Source organism: Homo sapiens, chromosome 1 (assembly GCF_000001405.40).
Source record: "Homo sapiens chromosome 1, GRCh38.p14 Primary Assembly".
NCBI classification, from domain to species: Eukaryota; Metazoa; Chordata; class Mammalia; order Primates; family Hominidae; genus Homo; species Homo sapiens.
The window spans coordinates 194,201,665-194,223,343 of record NC_000001.11 but is presented as its reverse complement, the minus strand read 5'-3'; the positions used below and the strand labels follow the sequence as shown (position 1 = coordinate 194,223,343).

At 34.2% G+C, this 21,679-nt stretch overlaps 2 long non-coding RNA genes across 5 annotated transcripts in view; one reads left to right on the top strand and one right to left on the bottom strand.

Moving 5' to 3' along the window:
- The window catches only part of LOC107985242 (uncharacterized), a 199,987-nt gene that overhangs the window by 134,497 nt on the left and 43,811 nt on the right, over positions 1–21,679 (top strand). The gene's annotated exons all lie outside the window — the stretch shown is intronic.
- The window catches only part of LOC124904475 (uncharacterized), a 765,263-nt gene continuing 747,380 nt past the window's right edge, over positions 3,797–21,679 (bottom strand). Inside the window, exon 9 of the long non-coding RNA XR_007066777.1 lies at positions 3,797–4,439. This is a non-coding gene — a long non-coding RNA (uncharacterized LOC124904475). The remainder of the gene's footprint in view (positions 4,440–21,679) is intronic.

Sequence of the window (21,679 nt, the reverse complement as noted above, 5' to 3'; positions counted from 1 at the left end):
AAAAGTCTTTGCCAAGACCAGTGTCCTGGAATGTTTCCCAGGTGTTTTTTTTTTCTCTAGCAGTTTCATAGTTTCAGGTCTTAGATTTAAATCCTTAATCCATTTTTATTTGATTTTCGTGTATGGTGAGAGATAAGGATTTAGTTTTATTTTTCAGTAGACAGTTATCCAGTTTTCCTGCTACCATTTATTAAGAAGACTATCCTTTCTCCATCGTGTGCTCTTGGTATCTTCGTTGAAAATGAGTTACCTGTAGATGTGTGAATTTATATCTGGGTTTTATTTTCTGTTCCATTGGTCTATATGTCTCTTTTTGGTTATGATGGCTTGGTAGTAAATTTTGATTGGGGTTGCATGAAATCTGTAAATTGCTTTTGTTGATATTGTCATTTGAACATTAATTTTTCTAACCCTTGAGCATGGACTATCTTTCCAACTTTTTTGTGTTCCCTTCTATTTCTTTCATTAGAATTTTATAGTTTTTCTTGTAGAGATGTTTCACTCCTTTAATTAGAAGGATTCCTAGATACTTTATATTTTTGTTGCTAAAGGGATTGATTTACTGGTTTCCTTTTCAGATTATTTATTGTTGATGTATATAAATGTTACTGATTTTTGTATGTTGATTTTGTATCCTGCAACGTTAGTAAACTCATTTCTCAATTCTAGAAAATGTGTGATAGTCTTCATGTTTTTCTAGGTTTAAGACTATGTCATCTGCAAACAAGACTAATTTGGTTTCTTCTTTTCCAATTTAGATGACTGTTATTTCTTTCTCTTGCCTAATCATTCTAACCAGGACTTTCTGTGTTACATGAAATAAAAATGGGGAAAGTGGGCATCCTGTCTTGTTCCAGTCCTTAGAAGAAGGGACTTTAATTTTTCCCTGCTCAGAATACTAACTCTGGGTTTGTCATGTATGGCCTTTATTATTTTGAGATATGTTTCTTCTATAACCGTTTTGATTAGGGTTTTTAATAAAGCAATGTTATATCAACTGGGTTTTGTCTACCTATTGAAATAATAATATGATTTTTGTTCTTAATTCTCTTAATGTGGAATGTCACATTTACAGATTGGTGTATGTTTAACTATTCTTGTATTCCTGGACTAAATCTCACTTGACCATGGTGAATTGTCTTTTTAATGTGTTGTTGAATTTGGTTTGCTAGTATTTTGTTGAGGAATTTGCATCTGTGTTCATCAATGTTATTGGCCTGTAGTTTTCTTTTTTGTTGTATTCTTGTCTGGTTTTGGTATCGTGGTAATGGCCTCATAGAATGAGTTTGGAAATATTCTCTTCTCTTTAATTTATTGTTGAGTTGAGTAGGATTGGTATTAGTTCTTTAAATGATGGGTTAAATTCAGCAGTGAAGCCATCAGGTCCTGAGATTTACTTTTATGGGAAGCTTTTTTTTTTTTTTTTTTTTTTTTTTACTACAGTTTAGATCTTGTTACTCGTTATTAATTTGTTGAGGTTTTCAGTTTCTTCAGGGTTCAATCTATGTAGGTTGTATGTTTCCAGGAACTTATTTCTTCTAGGTTATCCAATTTGTTGGTATATAGTTATTCAGAACAGTCTCTGAAAACTCTTCATATTTTTGAGGTCTCAGGTATGCATCCTTTTTCATTTCTAATTTTATTTATTTGGTTCTTTTCTCTTTGTTCAAAGTTTTGTCAATTTTGTTTACCTTTTCAAAAAACCAACTTTTTGTTTCATTAAGCTTCTGTATTGATTTCAGTCGCAATTTCACTTATTTCTGCTCAGATATTTATTATCTTTCCTTCTGCTAATTTTGGATTTTTTTTGTTTTTGTATTTCTAATGGTTGAGGTACATTATTAAGTTTTTTATTTGAAGTCTTTCTACTTATTTGATATAGTTGTTTATTGCTATAAACTTCTTACTGCACTGCTTTTGCTGTAACACATGGTTTTGGTATGTTGCATTTCTTTTTTCAATCTAATCTATTTTAAGAAGTTGTCTTCTTAATTTTTTTATTCACCCTTTAGTCATTCAGGAGCATGTTGTTTAATTTCCATATATTAGCTTATTTATCAAGGTTCTTCTTGTAACTGATTTCTAGTTTTATTCCATTTTGGTGAGAAAAGGCACTAGATATAATTTCTATTTTTTGAATTTGCTTAGTCTTGTTTTATGGCCTGATATATGGTCTATTCTAGAAAATGTTCCATGTGGTGATGAAAAGAATGTGTATTCTGCAGCAATTGGGTGAAATGTTCTGTAAATGTCAGTTAAGCCTATTAGATATATTGTGTAGTTTAAATGCACTGTTTCCTTGTTCATTTTCTGTCTGAATGATCTGTCCATTATTGAGAGTGAGGTATTAAAATCCCCCAATATTATTGCATTACACTCTATCTCTCCCTTTAGATCTATTATTCTTTGCTTTATGTACTTGGAAGCTCTGATGTTGGGTGCATAAATATTTGTAATATAACCTCCTAATGAATTGACTCCTTTATCACCATTTTCTAACCTTATTTGTCTCTTTCTGGAATATTAGTTTTGTAGTCTATTTTATTCAATAAATGTATAGCTGCTCCTGCTCTTTTTTGGTTTCCAGTAGCATGGACTATTTTTTTCATCCCTTCATTTTCAGACTATGTGTGTTTTTAAGGGTGAATTGGTTTTCTTGAAGCCAGAATATGGTTGGGTCATGTTTCTTTATCTGTTTAGCTACTTCACGCCTTTGACTTAGGGTATTCAGATCATTTACATTCAGCATTCTTATTGATAAGTAAGATCTCACCACTGCCATTTTGTTGCTTGCATTCTGGTTTATTTGCGATTTCTACTCCTCTCTTTCTTTTTTCCTGTCTTCCTTTCATCCTGTATTTCTTCTTCTTTTTTTTTTTTTTTTTTTTTGAGACGGAGTCTCTCTCTGTCGCCCAGGCTGGAGTGCAGTGGCAGGATCTCAGCTCACTGCAAGCTCTGCCCCCCGTGTTCACGCCATTCTCCTGCCTCAGCCTCCCGAGTAGCTGGGACTACAGGCTCCCGCCACCACGCCTGCTAATTTTTTGTATTTTTAGTAGAGATGGGGTTTCACCGTGTTAGCCAGGGTGGTCTCGATCTCCTGACCTCGTGATCTGCCTGCCTCTGCCTCCCAAAGTACTGGGATTACAGGTGTGAGCCACGGCGCCCGGCCCCTTTCTTCCTGTATTTCTTTGTGGTTAAGTGATTTTCTCTGGTTACATGTTTTCATTTATTGCTTTTTTTAATCTATTATAGGTTTTTGCATTGTTGTTGCCATGAGGCTTACAAAAACATCTCATAGATATGTTTTTCAATTAGATGAAAATTTGTCTTAGATCACAATTAAGAATAGATATAAAGGTAAAAATACAAATATATATATATATACTTATATATAAAGTGTGTATATATTTACTTATATATAAAGTGTGTATATATATATACTTATATATAAAGTGTGTATATATATATATTATATATATACACACTTTATGTGACTCATATTTTGGGTTACTTGTCTCTATTTACATATTTATTTGTTATCTATCTCTTAACAGGTTGCTGTAACCTACTATGGTTTTTGATATATTTGTCTTCTAAACTTCATACTAGAGTTAGGAGTGGAATGCACACCACAATTACAGCAATAGAGTATTCCGGGTTTGTCTCTATACTTAAACTTACCATTGTGTTTTATACATTGCAAAATTTTCTTTTTGCATATTAGTTTTTTTTTTTTTTTCAGTTCTTTCAGATTGAAGAACTCCCTTTAGTATTTCTTGCAATGGGTCTGGCGATGGTAAATTTTCTCAGTTTTTGATTGTCTTGGAAAAACTTTATTTCTCCTTCATATCTGAAGGATAATTTTGCTGAATGCAATATTCTTTCATATCAGTTTTCTTCTTTGAGCTTTTGAACATGTTCCACTCCCCGCTGGCCTATAAGATTTCCATTGTGAAATCTGCTGCCAGATGGATTGGAATTCCTTTATATGTTATTTGCTTTTCTTCTCTTGCTGCCTTTAGTATTCTCTCTTTGTCCTTGACCTTTGACAGTCTGATTATTCAGTGTCTTATGGTATTCTTATTTGAGTTGAATCTGCTTGGTGCTCTCAGATCTTCCTGTACCTAGATATGTATATCTATCTCAAGAGTTGGTAAGTTTTCTGTTATTCTTTCCTTGAAAAAACTTTCTACCACTTGCTCTTGTTTGATTCCCTTTTGAGCACTGATAACTCAGATTTAGTCTTTTGAGGTAATTTTCTGTATCTCGTAGGCAGTCTTAATTCATTTTCATTCTTTTTTTCGTTTTTTTCCTCTGACTTTGTATTTTCAAATAGCTGGCCTGAGAGGTCACTGACTCCTCAGCAAGACCCATTCTCCTGTTGAGAGTCTCTAATGGGTTCTTCAATTCAGCAAATGCATTTCTAATTTCTCAGATTTCTGTTAACAGAGGCAAAAAAGGCAGAGTCACAGGCGAAACACAAGTTTAAAAGGTAATCTTCATAATTATCCTCTTTCAATTTTTTTAAAACAATAACACAAAAACTCTGCAGATATGTATGAGCATGTGTGTGTGTGTGTGTGTGTGTGTGCATCACTGTCTATACCTGTGGACTAAGTTATGTATGTGTGTGCCTAATTTGTTCAACATTAACTTGGCATTAAAATTCCTGGCTTTCTTTTAATTGTCAAGGGCTCCTACTCAAGAAGAAATATCTAGGCATGATAATTATCTATTATGTTAGTATCTATTTTTAAACTGTCTCTCCCGAGTCCTATTTTTAACTTCTCTCAAATTTAACTACTGAATAGTGATTTAGAAGTTGCATTGTACAGGCCAGGCGCGGTGGCTCACGCCTGTAATCCCAGCACTTTGGGAGGCCGAGATGGGCGGATCACGAGGTCAGGAGATCGAGACCATCCTGGCTAACACGGTGAAACCCTGTCTCTACTAAAAATACAATAAATTAGCCGGGCATGGTGGTGGGCACCTGTAATCCCAACTGCTTGAGAGGCTGAGGCAGGAGAATGGCGTGAACCCGGGGGGCGGAGCTTGCAGTGAGCTGAGATCGCGTCACTGCACTCCAGCCTGGGCGACAGTGCTAGACTCCGTCTCCATTAAAAAAAAAAAAAACAACAAAAAAAAAACCTTGCATTTAGAGTTAGACAAGCCAGAGTTATTCAGGCAACTCCATCTCTTCGCAGGTATGTGATTTTATTTACAGCTGATGATATTGAATATTTACTATGTGACAAATACTATTTTAGGATAAGCAATATAGCATGAAACAAGAGAGTATTTCTAGTCTTATGGAATCTGCATTTGAATACAAGAAGTATCCCGTTAGTTCTCAATGTCTCCATCTATAAATGAAGACAGCATTGCACCTAGGCGTAATGTTGTTTGAATTAATAACTTCTATACTGAACTTAGCCTATCTTCCAGTAGACTGTGTTCACTCAAGAAATGTTAATATTTCTGACACCATAGGACCCATTTTGCTAAATCTCATAGATGGTCAGAGGAGTTTCTAAAATTTTATTTCTTGATTTAAAATGTTATGATTATTTTTCTTTAGTTTTAATCTTCTTGTGACCGAATTTTGCTTTGCTATTTTGATCTGTAGACAATTAATGGTAAGTCTATTAAGAGAAGAAACTTTCTTTTATTTTTCTTTCACCAGCTTCTTTTCTTGAATCACTATACTTTAAACAATAAAAAAATGTTTGTGGAACTAGTTAATAAAATAATAGGCTGTTAAGTAACATTACATATCATTGTGATCTTATTAATTTAATTTTTAGCTAGTTCTCTTTAGCAAGAAAATACTCTTTTAAAAACTTCATTTTGGGGCTGAATTTCAATCAAATCTAAAACTGTCTAGAAGGCATACATCTTAGTCCATTTTCTTTGCCACAGCAGAATACCACAGACTGGATAATTTATAAGGAAAATAATTTCTTTTCTTATAGTTTGGGAGGCTGAGAAGTTCAAGATCAAGAGGCTATTATTTGGTGTATCACTAAACGGCAGAAGATATCAGATGGCAAGAGAGCAAGAACATGTATGTCATCCAATGTCTCTCTTTCTTTTCTTATAAAGCCATCAGTCCTACCATGGGCACCTCACCCTGATGTCCTTATCTAATAATAATTACCTCCCAAAGGCCTCGTTTCCAATCAACATGTAAATTTGGGGATTACATTTCCAACACATACAATTTAGGGAACACATTTAATCCATAACAGCATTAGGTAAAACCATTTGCTGAGAATGTGGCCGCTAGTCAAGCTAGGTGGATTCAAATGACAACTCAGTATTCCAGAAGACGTATGACCTGGAAAAAAATCCTTAACCACTCTATTGCTTTGTTCTTTTCATCTCCACAATTGAGATAATAATATGCTTCATAGAGCTGTTAGGGTTTAATGAAAATATTCAAGGTAGCTCATATAGAACAAAAATAAAGCTAGCCTCACAGAGAATTATTAACATTAACACCAGATGCTGAATATAAAAAATCATATACACTAAACAACTGGATTTATTATACAAGGTACACAATTTATATTTGCCAACATATGTTACAAGTAATGACAAAAATCGCAATTACTTTTGTGTCAACCTAATAAAAGAAATCTTTATGACTTAATCCACAAAGGCTTATATTATACATATAATATATATATCCCATCAAATCCAGAGGTAGATAGTACAGAGCTGCCATGTGGGCTCCAGAGTTACATAAGGAGCTCAGTCTGTTTTCTTTATTTCTGGCCATCTTTAGCCCAAGGTTTCTATGCTCAAAGGACCACATGGCCCAATGTTCCTGCTGAGGCATGAGGCCATTGACATAGAACATATGTAAGATGAAGAGGAAAATAGCAGAAAGGTGTACCTCAGAGTTGGGTTAAGATCTTTTATGAATATTTCCTAGAAGTACTGACAACTCAGCCTCTTATAGCTTAGCAATCTTTCTGTCCTAAAGAAGCTGGGATAATGCCACTCTAAAGAAAATCAAGTTTCAGTCTTAAAAGGTAAGAGACATATTGAATAATCAAATAGCAGGTGTCTTCTGTAACAGGTTTTCTGTTAAAAAAGGATTTAAAACTTAGCTAAAATTAGCTTAAATAGAAAATTATTCAGATAAAATGGAAATCTTGCAACAGGACACAAATTTTAAAGTTTAAAAGTTTAGACTTGTATATACAGCACATTACACAGTTCAACTCTTAAATATTCAGAGCATTTTAGCAACAATTGTCACCATTGTTACAGGCTTTGCAAATAATTTATATAACTACTCATTATGTAGTTTGATCCAAGGTTCTAGCTCACACTGGTAGTCAATTTTCACACCACGCAACTCTAATAGAATGACTATTGCTTAAGTGATAAAATCAGGTAGTTATTTAATATTTACATTATAGCAACATGAAGCAAATAGAACAAAGACATACCACAAACCCAGGAGCAAGAAAAGTTGACATTATATAGTCAGAATTTTAAAATTATCATTACATTATATCATCATCATAATAAAGAGAAAAAGATGTAGAGAGATTTAGAAATGCTGTTCCCCACCATGTCTGTCTAAAATGACATGGCTGTTTTTTTGAGGCAAAATATCAAGAAACAGCTATGGTTACCATGGTAACTATATTAAAAATAAAAAGAAAATGTGGAATGTTTTCAAGTGATAAGTACATTTAAAATGGTCACACCCGCTCACTGAGGAATCAAATATATCTTGAAGCTTAAGCTTAATATTGCAAGAAATGTGTCATTGAATGAATTGTAAATTCTAAATGGTCTAATCTTTCTTAAGGGAAATAAGTTAATTTCATTAGAGGGTGAGAATTGAAATGTAATCATCATAAAAAAACATATTCTGATAGTTGAGTATTTAACTGAAAATTAACCAAAAACAAAATCTTAAAGAAGTGAAATAATTTATCATAAATTGCAAGTTATGTCAACATACCATAAAAATTAGCAGAGGCTCACATGAGCATACTTGGAACTGTACTGCTTTTTCTTCATTTTAAATTGATTATATGGGTAAATTCTGAATGTACTTGCTATAGTCATATCTGCCTTAATAGATTAGATTAAACAACAAACACTGCTTTCAATGCCTGCAACTCCAGTTCTCCCATCCCATTTAATGGCATTACCATTCCTCTAGATACATAGGGCCAAAACCCTATGTTGTCAGTCTGAATCAATTCTCAACAAGCTTCTTTGAGCAAAATATATCCTGATTTCCACTACTATGCTCTCTTTATTTCTAACCTAATTCAAGCTAACAGCAGATCTTCTCTGGAGTGAACTTATCCCTCTGCAAACCAAAAATAAAATCCTAGGCCCTCTCACCATCTGAAGACTCCTCTCAACAAGGGCATTCCAAAGTTAACCTGAAAAACTGGTTCAGGCCATGATGGGAAGGGGGAGCCAGACATGCGTCATTATACCCTCCTCACTTTTGGAATTACAACAGACTCTTTAAATCTGATAAGAAACATTTACAATTGTAAATGTAATCGATTTTCTCTGGAGCCTGCTACCTGGAGGTTTCATCTGCGTGATAAAAACTTGGTCTGCACAATCCCTTATCATAATCCAGACATTCCTTTTTATTCATAATAACTCAATCAATTGCCAATCAGAAAATCTTCGAATCTACCTATGGCCTGGAAGCCCCTTCTTTGAGTTGTGCCACCTTTCCAGACCGAATCAATGTACATTTTACATGTATTGATTGATGTCTCAAGTCTCCTTAAACTGTATAATACCAAGCTGTGCCCCATCAAACTTGGGCACGTGTCATTAGGACCTCCTGAGGCTGTGTCATGGGCATGTCCTCAACCATGGCAAAATAAACTTTCTAAATTGATCAAGACCTATCTCAGATACTTTTGGTTTACACTCCTAAATGATCTTCCTGATTTTCCCCTTCCCTTTTTACAGTCTATTATCCACAAAGAAGCTTGAGCAATCCTTATAGCTTCAAATTAAATCATGTCACTTTTTCTCTAAACTCTCTCATGGCTTCCTGTTGCACTTAGAGTACAGTCCACATTTCTTATTTTGGTCAGCCTCTATATGATCTAGCTGTTATATGTCTATTGAATTTATCCCCTGACTCTAGCAATTGTAATCTGGCAAGATTAGTTTCCTTTTGCCTTTGAGCATCCAAGTTAGTTTTGCAAATAGACCTGTGCACTGTGATCTCTGATTAGGATGATTTTCTCCCCTTCAACTGGCTCCTTCACCCTGTTTACTTTTCACTTAAAATTTCCCAGAAAGACCTTTTTTGCCCTGTCTACAAAAGAATAGCTTACTGTCATTTAGCCACATGACTTTTTCTGTTTTACTTTTCTGATGATATTATAATTATGACTAGCTACAATAATAGTATTTATTTAATTTTTTAAATTAATTTAATTGTTTTTGTCTATGATTATTTGAATGTAAGCTCTATCAAAGTCTGCTGCTTTTACTATTGTCTCTTCAATGTTTGATCACTGTCTGGCATTCATTAAGAATTCATCACACATTTTTAAAAAGATAGATTTTAAATTTAATAAAAATTTTACCAAAAAATAAGCATAATGAATGCTAGAATCTACTAGTAAATGGCAAGATTTATGGTAATTATAATGATATCCAAAAATCACATTCATTTCAGAAATGTAAATTACCTAAAATTTGTATCAAAATACATGTATTAGAAGGAGGCAGAAATCATTTTATCAGTTTTCCGTAACAAATTATTAATGACAAGTTATTAATACCCAAGCTAAGAAAGGATATTGAGACAATAGAACAAGATTTAAAGTCATCAGGAAAAGAAATAACGTTGAAAAGTGAAGCTTAGAGAAGGAATTTGAAGTTTTCCAGATAATTGCTATAGCAAGCCCTCAGAAAACTAAGAGCACTTAATGTGCCAGATGAAAGAATAATGCTTAAAGGAAAGAGAAATTGATGGAAGAAAATAAATAACAGAACATCAGTAAAGAAAAAGGCCCTTTAAATTTCCTGAAGCCATCAGTAGCTTCAAGCAAATTATCCTGTGTTAACTTCTCTCAATGAAACTTTGACAGAGAAACCTAGAAATAACATATAATAAAGTGAAAAATAATTCCAAAATCAATATTAGAACCAAAACAATAAAAATAAAATCTTCCAGAAATTACTGAAGAATAGGCTGGGATGAAAAAGTATAGATCTTTGCTGAAAGCGCCTTTCACTCAAAAAATAGTCTAATAATTTGATATTATTATTCCCCTTCTCCCTATCAGATTTTAATATACCATTACTTTTTAAATCTATTTTTCTTTCTCTTTATATATTTAATTTTTTAGTACATGCTAAAACTATTTTCTAAATCAAAGTCTTGGTTAAAATCCAAGCTCTAGCTCATTCTAGATGAAAGACACTAGACAAATTCCTTCACTTATCTGATAATTTCCTTATGAGTAGAAGGGAAACAATGATAACTCTATCCCATGTTGTTTTTGTCTTAAGTTAGTGTTTCTTGAACTTATTGATTTTAATATCCTTTACACATTTGAAAATTATTGAGACTAAGAAATATTGTTTATATGAAATATATATATATATATATATATATATATATATTTACCACATTGGTAATTTGAACTGAGAAAATTTAAAAAATATGTATGTCTTAATTTATCTAAAACAATAATAAGCCTGCTATGTATTAATATAAGATATATTTCATTTAAAAAACTGTATTTTCCAAAGAAATAGTGAGAAGATTGGCATTAAGTTACATTTTTGGAAGTATCTTTAACATCCAGCTTAATAGAAGACAGCTGACTTTTTGTATCTGCTTCCACATTTATCATTTTGCTGTGTTTGAAGTATATAAAGAAACTCATAGTATTTTAATAGTCTTTTTATATAATTTTAGATATTGTTTTTTGATGCGATATACCAAAGTATATCAAGTGGCAGGTTTTTTTTTTTTAACTTCTTTTATTTTAAGTTCAGGGGTACATGTGCAGGTTTTTTATATAGGTAGATTACATGTCATGAGGGTTTGGTGTACAGATTATTTTGTCACCCAGATAATAAGTATAGTACCCAACAGGTAGTTTTTCAATCCTCTCCCCTCTCCCACCTTCCACCCTCAGTTAGGCCTCAACATCTGTCAGTCATTCCGTTCCGTTTTGCATCCATGTTTGTATTTAATGTTTAGCTCGGACTTATAAGTGAGAATGTGTGATATTTGATTTTTGGTTCCTTTGTTAGTTTGCCCAGGATAATGGCCTCCTCTATAAGTGGTATTTGGTTTTCTGTTTCTCCGTTAATTCGCATAGGATTGTGGCCCTCAGCCCCATCCATGTTGCTGCAAAGGACATGATGTTGTTCTTTTTTATGGCTATGTAGTATTCTATAGTGTATATGCACCACATTTTTTTTTTGTAGTCTAGTCTACTGTTGATGGGCATTAAGGTTGATTCCATGTCTTTGCTATTGTGAATAGTGGTGCAGTAAACATGCATGTTTATGTGTCTTTATGGAAGAACAATTTATATTCCTTAAAGTATATACCCAATAATGGGATTGCTGACTTAGGTGATACTTGTGTTTTAGGTTCTTAGAGAAATCATCACACAGCTTTTCACAATGGCTGAAACGATTTACATTCCCACCAGCAGTGTATAAGCATTCCCTTTTCTCCACAGCCTCATCAGCATCTGTCACTTTTTAACTTTTTAATAATATCCACCCTGACTGATACAAGATGGTATCTCATTGTGGTTTGGATTTGCATTTCTCTAATGATTAGTGCCGTTGAGCACTTCTTATATGCTTGTTGGCTGTGCGTATCTCTTCTTTTGAAAAGTGTCTGTTCATGTTCTTTGCCATCAAGTGGCAGTTTCTTAAAGAAATGATAAACTTGTCTTCATCAAAATTTTAAAAATTCTGTTTTTCAAAATACATCATAAATAAGATAAAAAGTCCAGACACTGATAGAAAATGATTTCAAGTCACCCATCTGATGAAAGATTTATATATAAAATATATTAAGAGCTCTCAAACTTCAATAAGAAACAAAATCACCGTATAAAAAATAGTCAGTGATTTGGGCATTTACTTCACTGGTGAAGATATACAGATGGCAAATGAGCACATGGAAAGATACTCAACATCAACATTCTTCATTAGCAATGTGCAGATTAAAAGTACAATATGAGAAACCCCTAAACACCTACTTGAATGTCTAATTTTTAAAGAACTTTCAAGTGTTGGTGAAGATGCAGAGGCATTGGAACTCTTATACATTGTTAATGGGAATGTAAAACTATACAATTCCCTGGAAAAACAGTTTGGCAGTTTCCTAAAGTGTTAACCATACACCTTCTATGTGATCCAGCCATTCTACTCCTAGGTATTACCCAGGAAAAATTAAAAGCACATAGCCGATCAAATTGTGTTATAAACTTTCATAACAGCTTTATTTGTAAAAGAAAAAAATTAAATGATCAAATGCCCCATTACAGGTGTCTGGATATACAAAATGTAAAATAATTATACAACAGCAGAATACTCAGCAATAAAATTGAATGAAATGTTGACACACACAACAACATGAATATAAAAATAACTCTGCATGTAAGAAAAGCTAAAAGCATATACTATAAAATTACATTTACATGAAATTGTAGAAAATGCAAACTATAATGAAGAAAACATTGGTTGCCAGGGGACTGGGAAAGGGACAGGTGGCTTGGAAAGGTGAGAGTGATTACTCAAGAGCATGGGGACAGTTTTGGGGCTGATAGATTTGCTCACTGTCTTTATTGTAGTAATGGTTTTATGATGGTTTATATATGTCAAAAATTATTAAACTGCCTGCTCTAAATATGTGCAGTTTACGCTATGGCAATTAAATCTCAGTAGGCATATTAAAAATAGGCATATGCTAACAAGTGTCTAAATTTAATAAAATGTAGTAATGTTCACTTTCTTTTGGGACATTTGTAAGTGAAACTAGATTTTTTTTTCTTTTTAATCAGCCAATGTGTGGCAGTAAGGAATACAATGACTCCTAATACAGTTCAGTGTCACTGTCTTGTTTTGTGTAAAGGAATCTACAGTTTAACCACTATTGCTTTATCACCATCAGAGCAAATGTTAACAGAGTGGTGCTAGGATAAATCAGGAGATTAAAAAACTACTTAACATTTGATTATGTCAGCAGTCTTTAGTTCTTGTTGCTCAGCATCCCACACCCCACACACATCAATACACATATATATTTTCTTCAGTGATAATTTGGGACCAACACTGAATGGAAAGAAGCAAGCAAAACAGCAAGTCCAGCCATATTTGTAAATCTATCCATAGATCAAATATTAACTTGCTGTTTGCAGCTAAATCTTTAAATTGACAAGCTACTGTAATACTGAAAAGTGGTGGCAGTGCTATGATTTGCTTTACTGATTCTTTCATTCAGCAACGTTTCAGTTGTGTCAACTAAGGAATAAATTATAGTTTCTCAACTATTTTGTTGCTTCTCTAGCCAATGACAACTTACTCTCTGAGCTGCTTTTCTGGCTCCTTAATTTGTAGTTGAAAATATGTAACAAACAATTGTTGGGGTTTTTAAATGTATTTTAATTTTTTATTTCCATAAGTTATTGGGGAGCAGGTGGTGTTTGGTTAAATGAGTAAGTCCTTTAGTGGTGATTTGTGAGAGCGTGGTGCACCCATCCCCTGAGTAGTATACACTGATCCCTATTTGTAGTCTTTTATCGCTCACTCCCTTCCCACTCTTTTCCCTCAAGTTCCCAAAGTCCATTGTGTCATTCTTATGCCTTTGCATCCTCACAGATTAGCTCCCACTTATGACTGAAAACATATGATGTTTGGTTTTCCATTCCTGAGTTACTTCACTTAGGATAATATTCTCCAATCTCATCCAGGTGGCTATGAATGCCATTAATTCATTTATTTTTATGGCTGAGTAGTATTCCATTGTGTGTGTGTGTGTGTGTGTGTGTGTCTGTGTATACACACACACATATACACTATGTATATGTATATGTGTATATATACATATATAGTGTATACATATACACTATATATATATATCTCACAGTGTCTTCATCTACTCATTGATTGATGGGCATTAGGGTTGGTTCCACATTTTTGCAATTGTGAATTGTGCTGCTATAAACATGCGTGTGCAAGTATCTTTTTTGTATAACAACAACTTTTTTTTCCTCTGAGTAGACACCCAGTAGTGGGATTGCTGGATCAAATAGTAGTTCTACTTTTAGTTGTTTAAGAAATCTCCACACTGTTTTCCATAGTGTTTGTATGAGTTTGCATTCCCACCAGCAGTGTAGAAGTGTTCCCTGTTCCATGCCAACATCTAATATTTTTATTATTTAATTTAGTAATTATTTATTTTATTTAATTATTAAATAATTATTATTTAATAAAAAATTTAATTATTATTTAATTCTTGCAGGAGTAAGGTCGTATCTCACTGTGGTTTTGATTTGCATTTCCCTCATCATTAGTGATGTTGAGCATTTTTTCCTATGTTTGTTGGCCATTTGCATATCTTTTTTGTTGTTGTTGTTGCTATTGTTGTTGTTGTTCTGAGATGGAGTCCTGCTCTGTCGCCAGGCTGGAGTGCAGTGGTGTGATCTCGGTTCACTGCAACCTCCACCTTCTGGTTCAAGCGATTCTTCTGCCTTAGCCTCCTGAGTAGCTGGGACTACAGATGTGTGCCACCATGCCCAGCTAATATTTTTTCATTTTTAGTAGAGACAGGGTTTTACCATGGTGGCCAGACTGGTCTTGATCTCTTGACCTCATGATCTGCCTGCCTTGGCCTCCCAAAGTGCTGGGATTACAGGCGTGAGCCACTGCGCCCAGCCTCATATCTTCTTTTGAGAATTGTCCATTGATGTCCTTAGCTTACTCTTTGATGGGATTGTTTGTTTTTTTCTTGTTGATATGTTTGAGTTCATTGTAGATTCTGGATATTAGTCCTTTATCAGGTGTATAGATTGTAAAGATTTTTCCCACTCTTTGGGTTGTCTGTTTACTCCACTTACTGTTCCTTTTGCTGTGCAAAAGCTCTTACGTGTATTTAAGTCCCAGCAATTTATCTTTGTTTTTATTACATTTGCTTTTGGGTTTTTGTCATGAAATCCTTACCTAAGCCAATGTCTAGAAGGGTTTTTTCCAATATTACCTTTAGAATATTTATAGCTTCAGGTCTTAGGTTTAAGTCTTTAATCCATCTTGAGTTGATATTTTTATAAGGTGAGAGAGATAAGGATTGAGTTTCATTCTCCTACATGTGGCTAGCCAATTATCCCAGCATCATATGTTGAAATGGGTTTCATTTACCCACTTTATATTTTTGTTTACGTTGTCAAAGATCAGTCAGCTGTAAGTATTTGGGTTTATTTCTGGGTTATCTATTCTGTTCCATTGGTCTTTGTGACTATTTTTATGCTACTACCATGCTGTTTGGGTTGCTGTGGCCTTATAGTATAGTTTGAAATCAGGTAATGTGATGCTTTCAGATTTGTTCTTTTGGCTTAGTCTTGCTTTGACTATGAGGGTTGATTCCGTATGAATTTTAGAAGTGTTTTTTTCTAATTCTGTGAAGAATGATGGTGGTATGCTGATGGGAAAGAAAAAGCATTTGACAAAATCTAACATCCCTTTATGATTAAAACTCTCAGCAAAATAGGCATACAAGAGACATACTTCAATTTAATAAAAGCCACCTATGACAAACCCACAGCCAATATAATAGTGAATGGGGAAGAGTTGAAAGCATTCCCTCTGAGAACTGGAACAAGACAAGGATGCCCACTCTCACCACTCCTCTTCAACATAGTACTGGAAGTCCTAGCCAGAGCAATCAGACAAAAGAAAGAGAGGACATCCAAGTAGGTAAAGAGGAAGTCAAACTGTCACTGTTTGCTGATGATATGATCGTTTACCTAGAAAACACTAAAGACTCCTCCAGAAAGCTCCTAGAACTGATAAAGGAATTCAGCAAAGTTTCTGGATACAAAATTAATGTACACCAATCAGTAGCTCTTCTATACACAAATAGTGACCAAGCTGATAATCAAATCAAGAACTCAACCCCTTTACAATAGCTGCGAAATATATATATAAGAAGAAGAAACTACTTAGGAATATACCTAACCAAGGAGGTGAAAGACCTCTACAAGGAAAACTACAAAACATTGCTGAAGGAAATCATAGATGACACAAACAAATGGATAAACATTCCATGCTCATAGATGGGTAGCATCAATATTGTGAAAATGACCATATTGCCAAAAGCAATCTACAAATTTAATGCAATTCCCATCAAAATTGTTGGTTATTTAAGAGCGTATCACATCTACATTTATCATTTTTCTTTTTTAAATTTTTAAGTACTGAAATGATTGGATTTGATGTGACATTGAAACTTAGCACCATATATTATTTGAATGCATTCTGCTGTATAAGAAACAATCATGGAGATTATTAATATTTACAATGACAAGAAAAGCCATCTTGTTAATAATTTTGTTTCTATTTATTAGAAGTTTTTCAGCATTTCCCTTCCATACATCAGAGAATTCTGTGTTATATCAGTTCATCTTTTTTCTAGCATTTTTAGATGTAAGTGATACAGCTATATGTTGAGAAAGTACTTTTTCTAATATTTTATTAAGCTAATAATTCATCCTAATTCATCCAAAATAAAATGAATTTTATTGTTGAATAAATCATTACTAAAGTGATAAATTTTAGACAAGATTTTTGACATTTTTAAAAAAGTATAAAAAATACTATGATGAAACAAGACAATAAGAAAATTTTTAGAATTACAAAATAATAATTTATTGGATAATAATGATTTTACAGGGATTGCAACAGGTATAATTGGATAGATAACTGATTACATAGATAGATGATAGATAGATCATAGTTGAAATACTGATAACTGAGTTTAATCTTTGAAAAATCACAAATCTACTAACTTAAACGTTTCAGAAAACACAAGTGCATACAAGCATAAATTCAGGTATCTTCTGTAAAACTCCACATGGGAGTATAAATTGGAAAGTTAAGAGTGAAAGGAGCATATAAGAGATTACTATTGCTGTGAAAATATTTTGACCTTGCAAATCCTCTGAAAGGATCTTTGGAGACCCCACTGGCTCTGAGGCAACATTCCAAGAATCACCTTAGGTGAAAAAAAATAAAAAAGAATAAGAATATCCTGTTTTTAAAGGGACTATTGTGAAGTGCTCTTGAGTGATGATATGTTTTCCAGGAGATGAGGACTGAACAAAGAGGGAATGAAAAGTACTAAGGATTCCAATGAAGCACATCCAAACCTGGGGAACATTCAGGGTGGGCAGAGTTGTCCTGAATTGAAAGAAGGAGGTCATGCCTTTGTACCTCCATATCAGCTAATTATGAGCTATGCACTGCCCAATCCAAAGGACATAAACTTGGTTGAGGCAGTTCCCTGCCTCTGAGGCTTATGAGCCATGAACAGTCAGTATTCCTATAATTGGGAATAATGGGGACTGTATGTGTTTGTGTGCATGTGTGTGTGTGAGAGACACACACACATATGCACACAAACAAACACACACACAGAGAAGAATGATTATATGCCAAGAAGATATAGCACAGTTCCATACCAGAAAGTTAAGAAATAAGAGATTTTTACTTTAATAGGGAAAATGTCAAAAATATGCGAGAACTGCTAAAGACAGATATTAAAGTTTAATGAGAAAAAGGATCATACTGACTTAGCTTTCCATGTACATATCTTTAGTCAACTGACCTATTTTAAGGCCCACTTCCCTCTACTGACTCTTATTTTACCTCCAAATTTCAAAAAGGAAGACTCAAGATTTATTGTGTAGATTAATTTTTGTTTCTGTTTTTGTTTTTTCCCTCATTGCTGCCCTCTCATTAGCATATTTCAGGCTATGAATGGCTTTGTTTCATTCATTATTGTCCTCTCAATCTCTTTTTTCTAGGAATTTATTAAAATCACTCATTTTCTGAAGAATCCTTTGTTTATCTTCTAACTAATGGGGTCATTTCATTTTGTGGCTTTTTGGGGACTATTTCATGTGATTTTCACTTTTAGAATGAGCTTATAAGCATTATTTCTATAAATTATCAATTAACATATCAAATAAAACCTGTCTACACTTACGAGATGCCATATCTGAACACTTCCTAAAAGAGAATCTTGGACACCATCTACCTTTCTTCTGTTTGCCATCATCAGGTTTTGCAGAAATGTGACATGTGTTGCACCTCCTCATCCCTGAGTTTAGCATCAGACAAGCCATACCATACATATATCTTTCTTATTTAAAATATTCAACTGTTACCTGTCAAAAAGGAAATTTTGTATTTAAATGAAAATGATATTTATTTGTAGAATGAAATAAACTAAAAAAAAATACCTTTTAAGAGAAGATGAGAGAACAGATATTTTCTTCAAAAGGAAATTCCACAGAAAACTTTTTTGTCTGGCAACAATTAAAAAGAAAGATAAAGAGGAAACAGAATAGTATCTATTTGGAAAGAAGAAAGAATAACAATACTAAAATAGTGCAATGTCTAAGCCACACAAATAATTAAGGTAGACAGCATAAAATACGAAGAGATTGTTATTTTTTGGACAAAATATAAAATTTAAAAAATTAGTAGTTTCTGTTGTGGGAAGTCAGGGACCCCGAATGGAGGGACCGGCTGAAGCTGTGGCAGAAGAACATAAATTGTGACGATTTCATGGACATTTATTAGTTCCCCAAATTAATACTTTTATAATTTCTTATGCCTGTCTTTACTGCAATCTCTGAACATAAATTGTGAAGATTTTATGGACACTTATCACTTCCCCAATCAATACCCTTGTGATTTCCTATGCCTATCTTTACTTTAATCTCTTAATCCTGTCATCTTGTAAACTGAGGAGGATGTATGTCGCCTCAGGACCCTGTGATGATTAACTGCACAAATTATAGAGCATGTGTGTTTGAACAGTATGAAATCTGGGCACCTTGAAAAAAGAACAGGATAACAGCAATGTTCAGGGAACGAGAGAGATAACCTTAAACTCTGACCGCTGGTGAGCTGGGCGGAACAGAGCCATATTTCTCTTCTTTCAAAAGCAAATGGGAGAAATATCTCTGAATTATTTTTCTCAGCAAGGAACATCCCTGAGAAAGAGAATGCATCCCTGAGGGTAGGCCTCTGAAATGGCTGCTTCGGTGGGCGGCCATCTTTTATGGTCGAGCTATAGGGATGAAATAAGCCCCAGTTTCCCATAGCGCTCCCAGGCTTATTAGGATGAGGAAATTCCCACCTAATAAATTTTGGTCAGACCACTTGTCTGCTCTCAAACCCTGTCTGTCTCCTGACAAGTTGTTATCAATGACAATGCAGGCCCGAAACTCCATTAGCAATTTTAATTTCACCCCTGTCCTGTGGTCCCGTGATCTCGCCCTGCCTCCATTTGCCTTGTGATATCTTATTACCTTGTGAAGCATGTGATCTCTGTGACCCACACCCTATGCATACACTGCCTCCCCTTTTGAAAATCACTAATAAAAACTTGCGGTTTTACCACTCAGGGGGCATCACGGAACCTGCCGACAGGTGATGTCTCCCCTGGACGCCCAGCTTTAAAATTTCTCTCTTTTGTACTCTGTCCCTTTATTTCTCAGACTGGCTGACACTTAGAGAATATAGAAAAGAACCTACATGAAATATCAGGGGTGAATTTCGCCCGATATCTGGCTGAATTTCCCCCGATAGTTTCACAATTTTAGTAATAATCTGCTTTATCAGAAGGAATAACAATCACAATTATTGAATTATAGGCAGTGTTTTAATGGCTTTAACATAGTTGACAATAATTAACAGCAAATAGGACTTGAGTTTTTGAAGTATCTTTTCAATAATTATACACATTACAAATTGTTCAGATATCATTATCAGTTATAGATGATTTCATTTTATTTTGAAGATGCATCCACTATGGTGCTTTGGATCATCAGCTGGGATGGTTGTAGAATGGGTACAGCAGGGACTATTGACTGGAGTGTATGTGGCCTCCCAGTATGGCAGTCTCAGGGCTCTAACAGGAAGTATTCCCAGAGAAAGTATTCCAGCAAAACTGTAGAAGCTGAATAATGAAACTTTGTCATATACACTCTTCAGCATCCACATTATTTGCTGGAATACCCCAGTCAACACCGCCTGTCCTCAGCCATCCCAGTAGGAGCCAAACATGTAAGTAAGTAAAACAAGCCACATGGAATGGAATTGCCCAGCTGCAAGTATTTTAACCAGCGATTACAGCTGAGGCCCCAAATATTATGAAGGTGACAAGATCTGTCTTCACTGTCCCATTTCTGAATCTGTAACTCAGAGATACCATAAGAATAATAAAATGGTTTAGACCATTCAATTTTAGAGTGGCTTGTTACACAGTGACAGGTACTGCAAACACCAGAAAATAGCAAATTGAGTGATAGCAACCAAAATTTGTTGGTTATATTATTTCAAAATAATATAGCACTATCTATCATAGAAGAATATATATACAACTTAGAATTGTATGCAATCAATACATTTGCAAATAAATACTTGTAAAAAATTATGAAAGAGTATTCCAAAAACATTATTTGCCCTTTTAAAGTAAAATAAAAACACCATAAGCCTTCCCTTAACTCTGTAATAGTGTTGATTTAAACATATTACAAAAAATTTCAGCCAATCACTTGAAAAATGGTTGGTCTATAAAGTCACATGAAATTATTTTGTTTCACAATTTGCTTTTGATTCTCCCCGTTGCAATGATTTTGAAAATCTTGCAGAGGACAGACTTTAGATATAAAGTAAACTGAAGCATTTACTCTTTCCTATTCAACATAGTGTTGGAAGTTCTGGCCAGGGCAATCAGGCAGGAGAAAGACATAAAGGTTATTCAACTGGGAAAAGAGGAAGTCAATTTGTCCCTGTTTGCAGATGACATGATTGTATATCTAGAAAACCCCATCGTTTCAGCCCCAAATCTCCTTAAGCTGATAAGCAACTTCAGCAAAGTCTCAGGATACAAAATCAACATGCAAAAATCACAAGCATTCTTATACACCAATAACAGACAAACAGAGAGCCAAATCATGAGTCAACTCCCATTTACAATTGCTTCAAAGAGAATAAAATACCTAAGAATCCAACTTACAAGTGATGCGAAGGACCTCTTCAAGGAGAACTACAGACCACTGCTCAATGAAATAAAAGAGGATACAAACAAATGGAAGAATATTCCATGCTCATGGGTAGGAAGAATCAATATCATGAAAATGGCCATACTGCCCAAGGTAATTTATAGATTCAATGCCATTCCCATCAAGCTACCAGTGACTTTCTTCACAGAATTGGAAAAAACTACCTTGAAGTTCATATGGAACCAAAAAAGAGCCCGCATTGCCAAGTCAATCCTAAGCCAAAAGAACAAAGCTGGAGGCATCATGCTACCTGACTTCAAACTCTACTACAAGGCTACAGTAACCAAAAGAGTATGGTACTGGTACCAAAACAGAGATATAGACCAATGGAACAG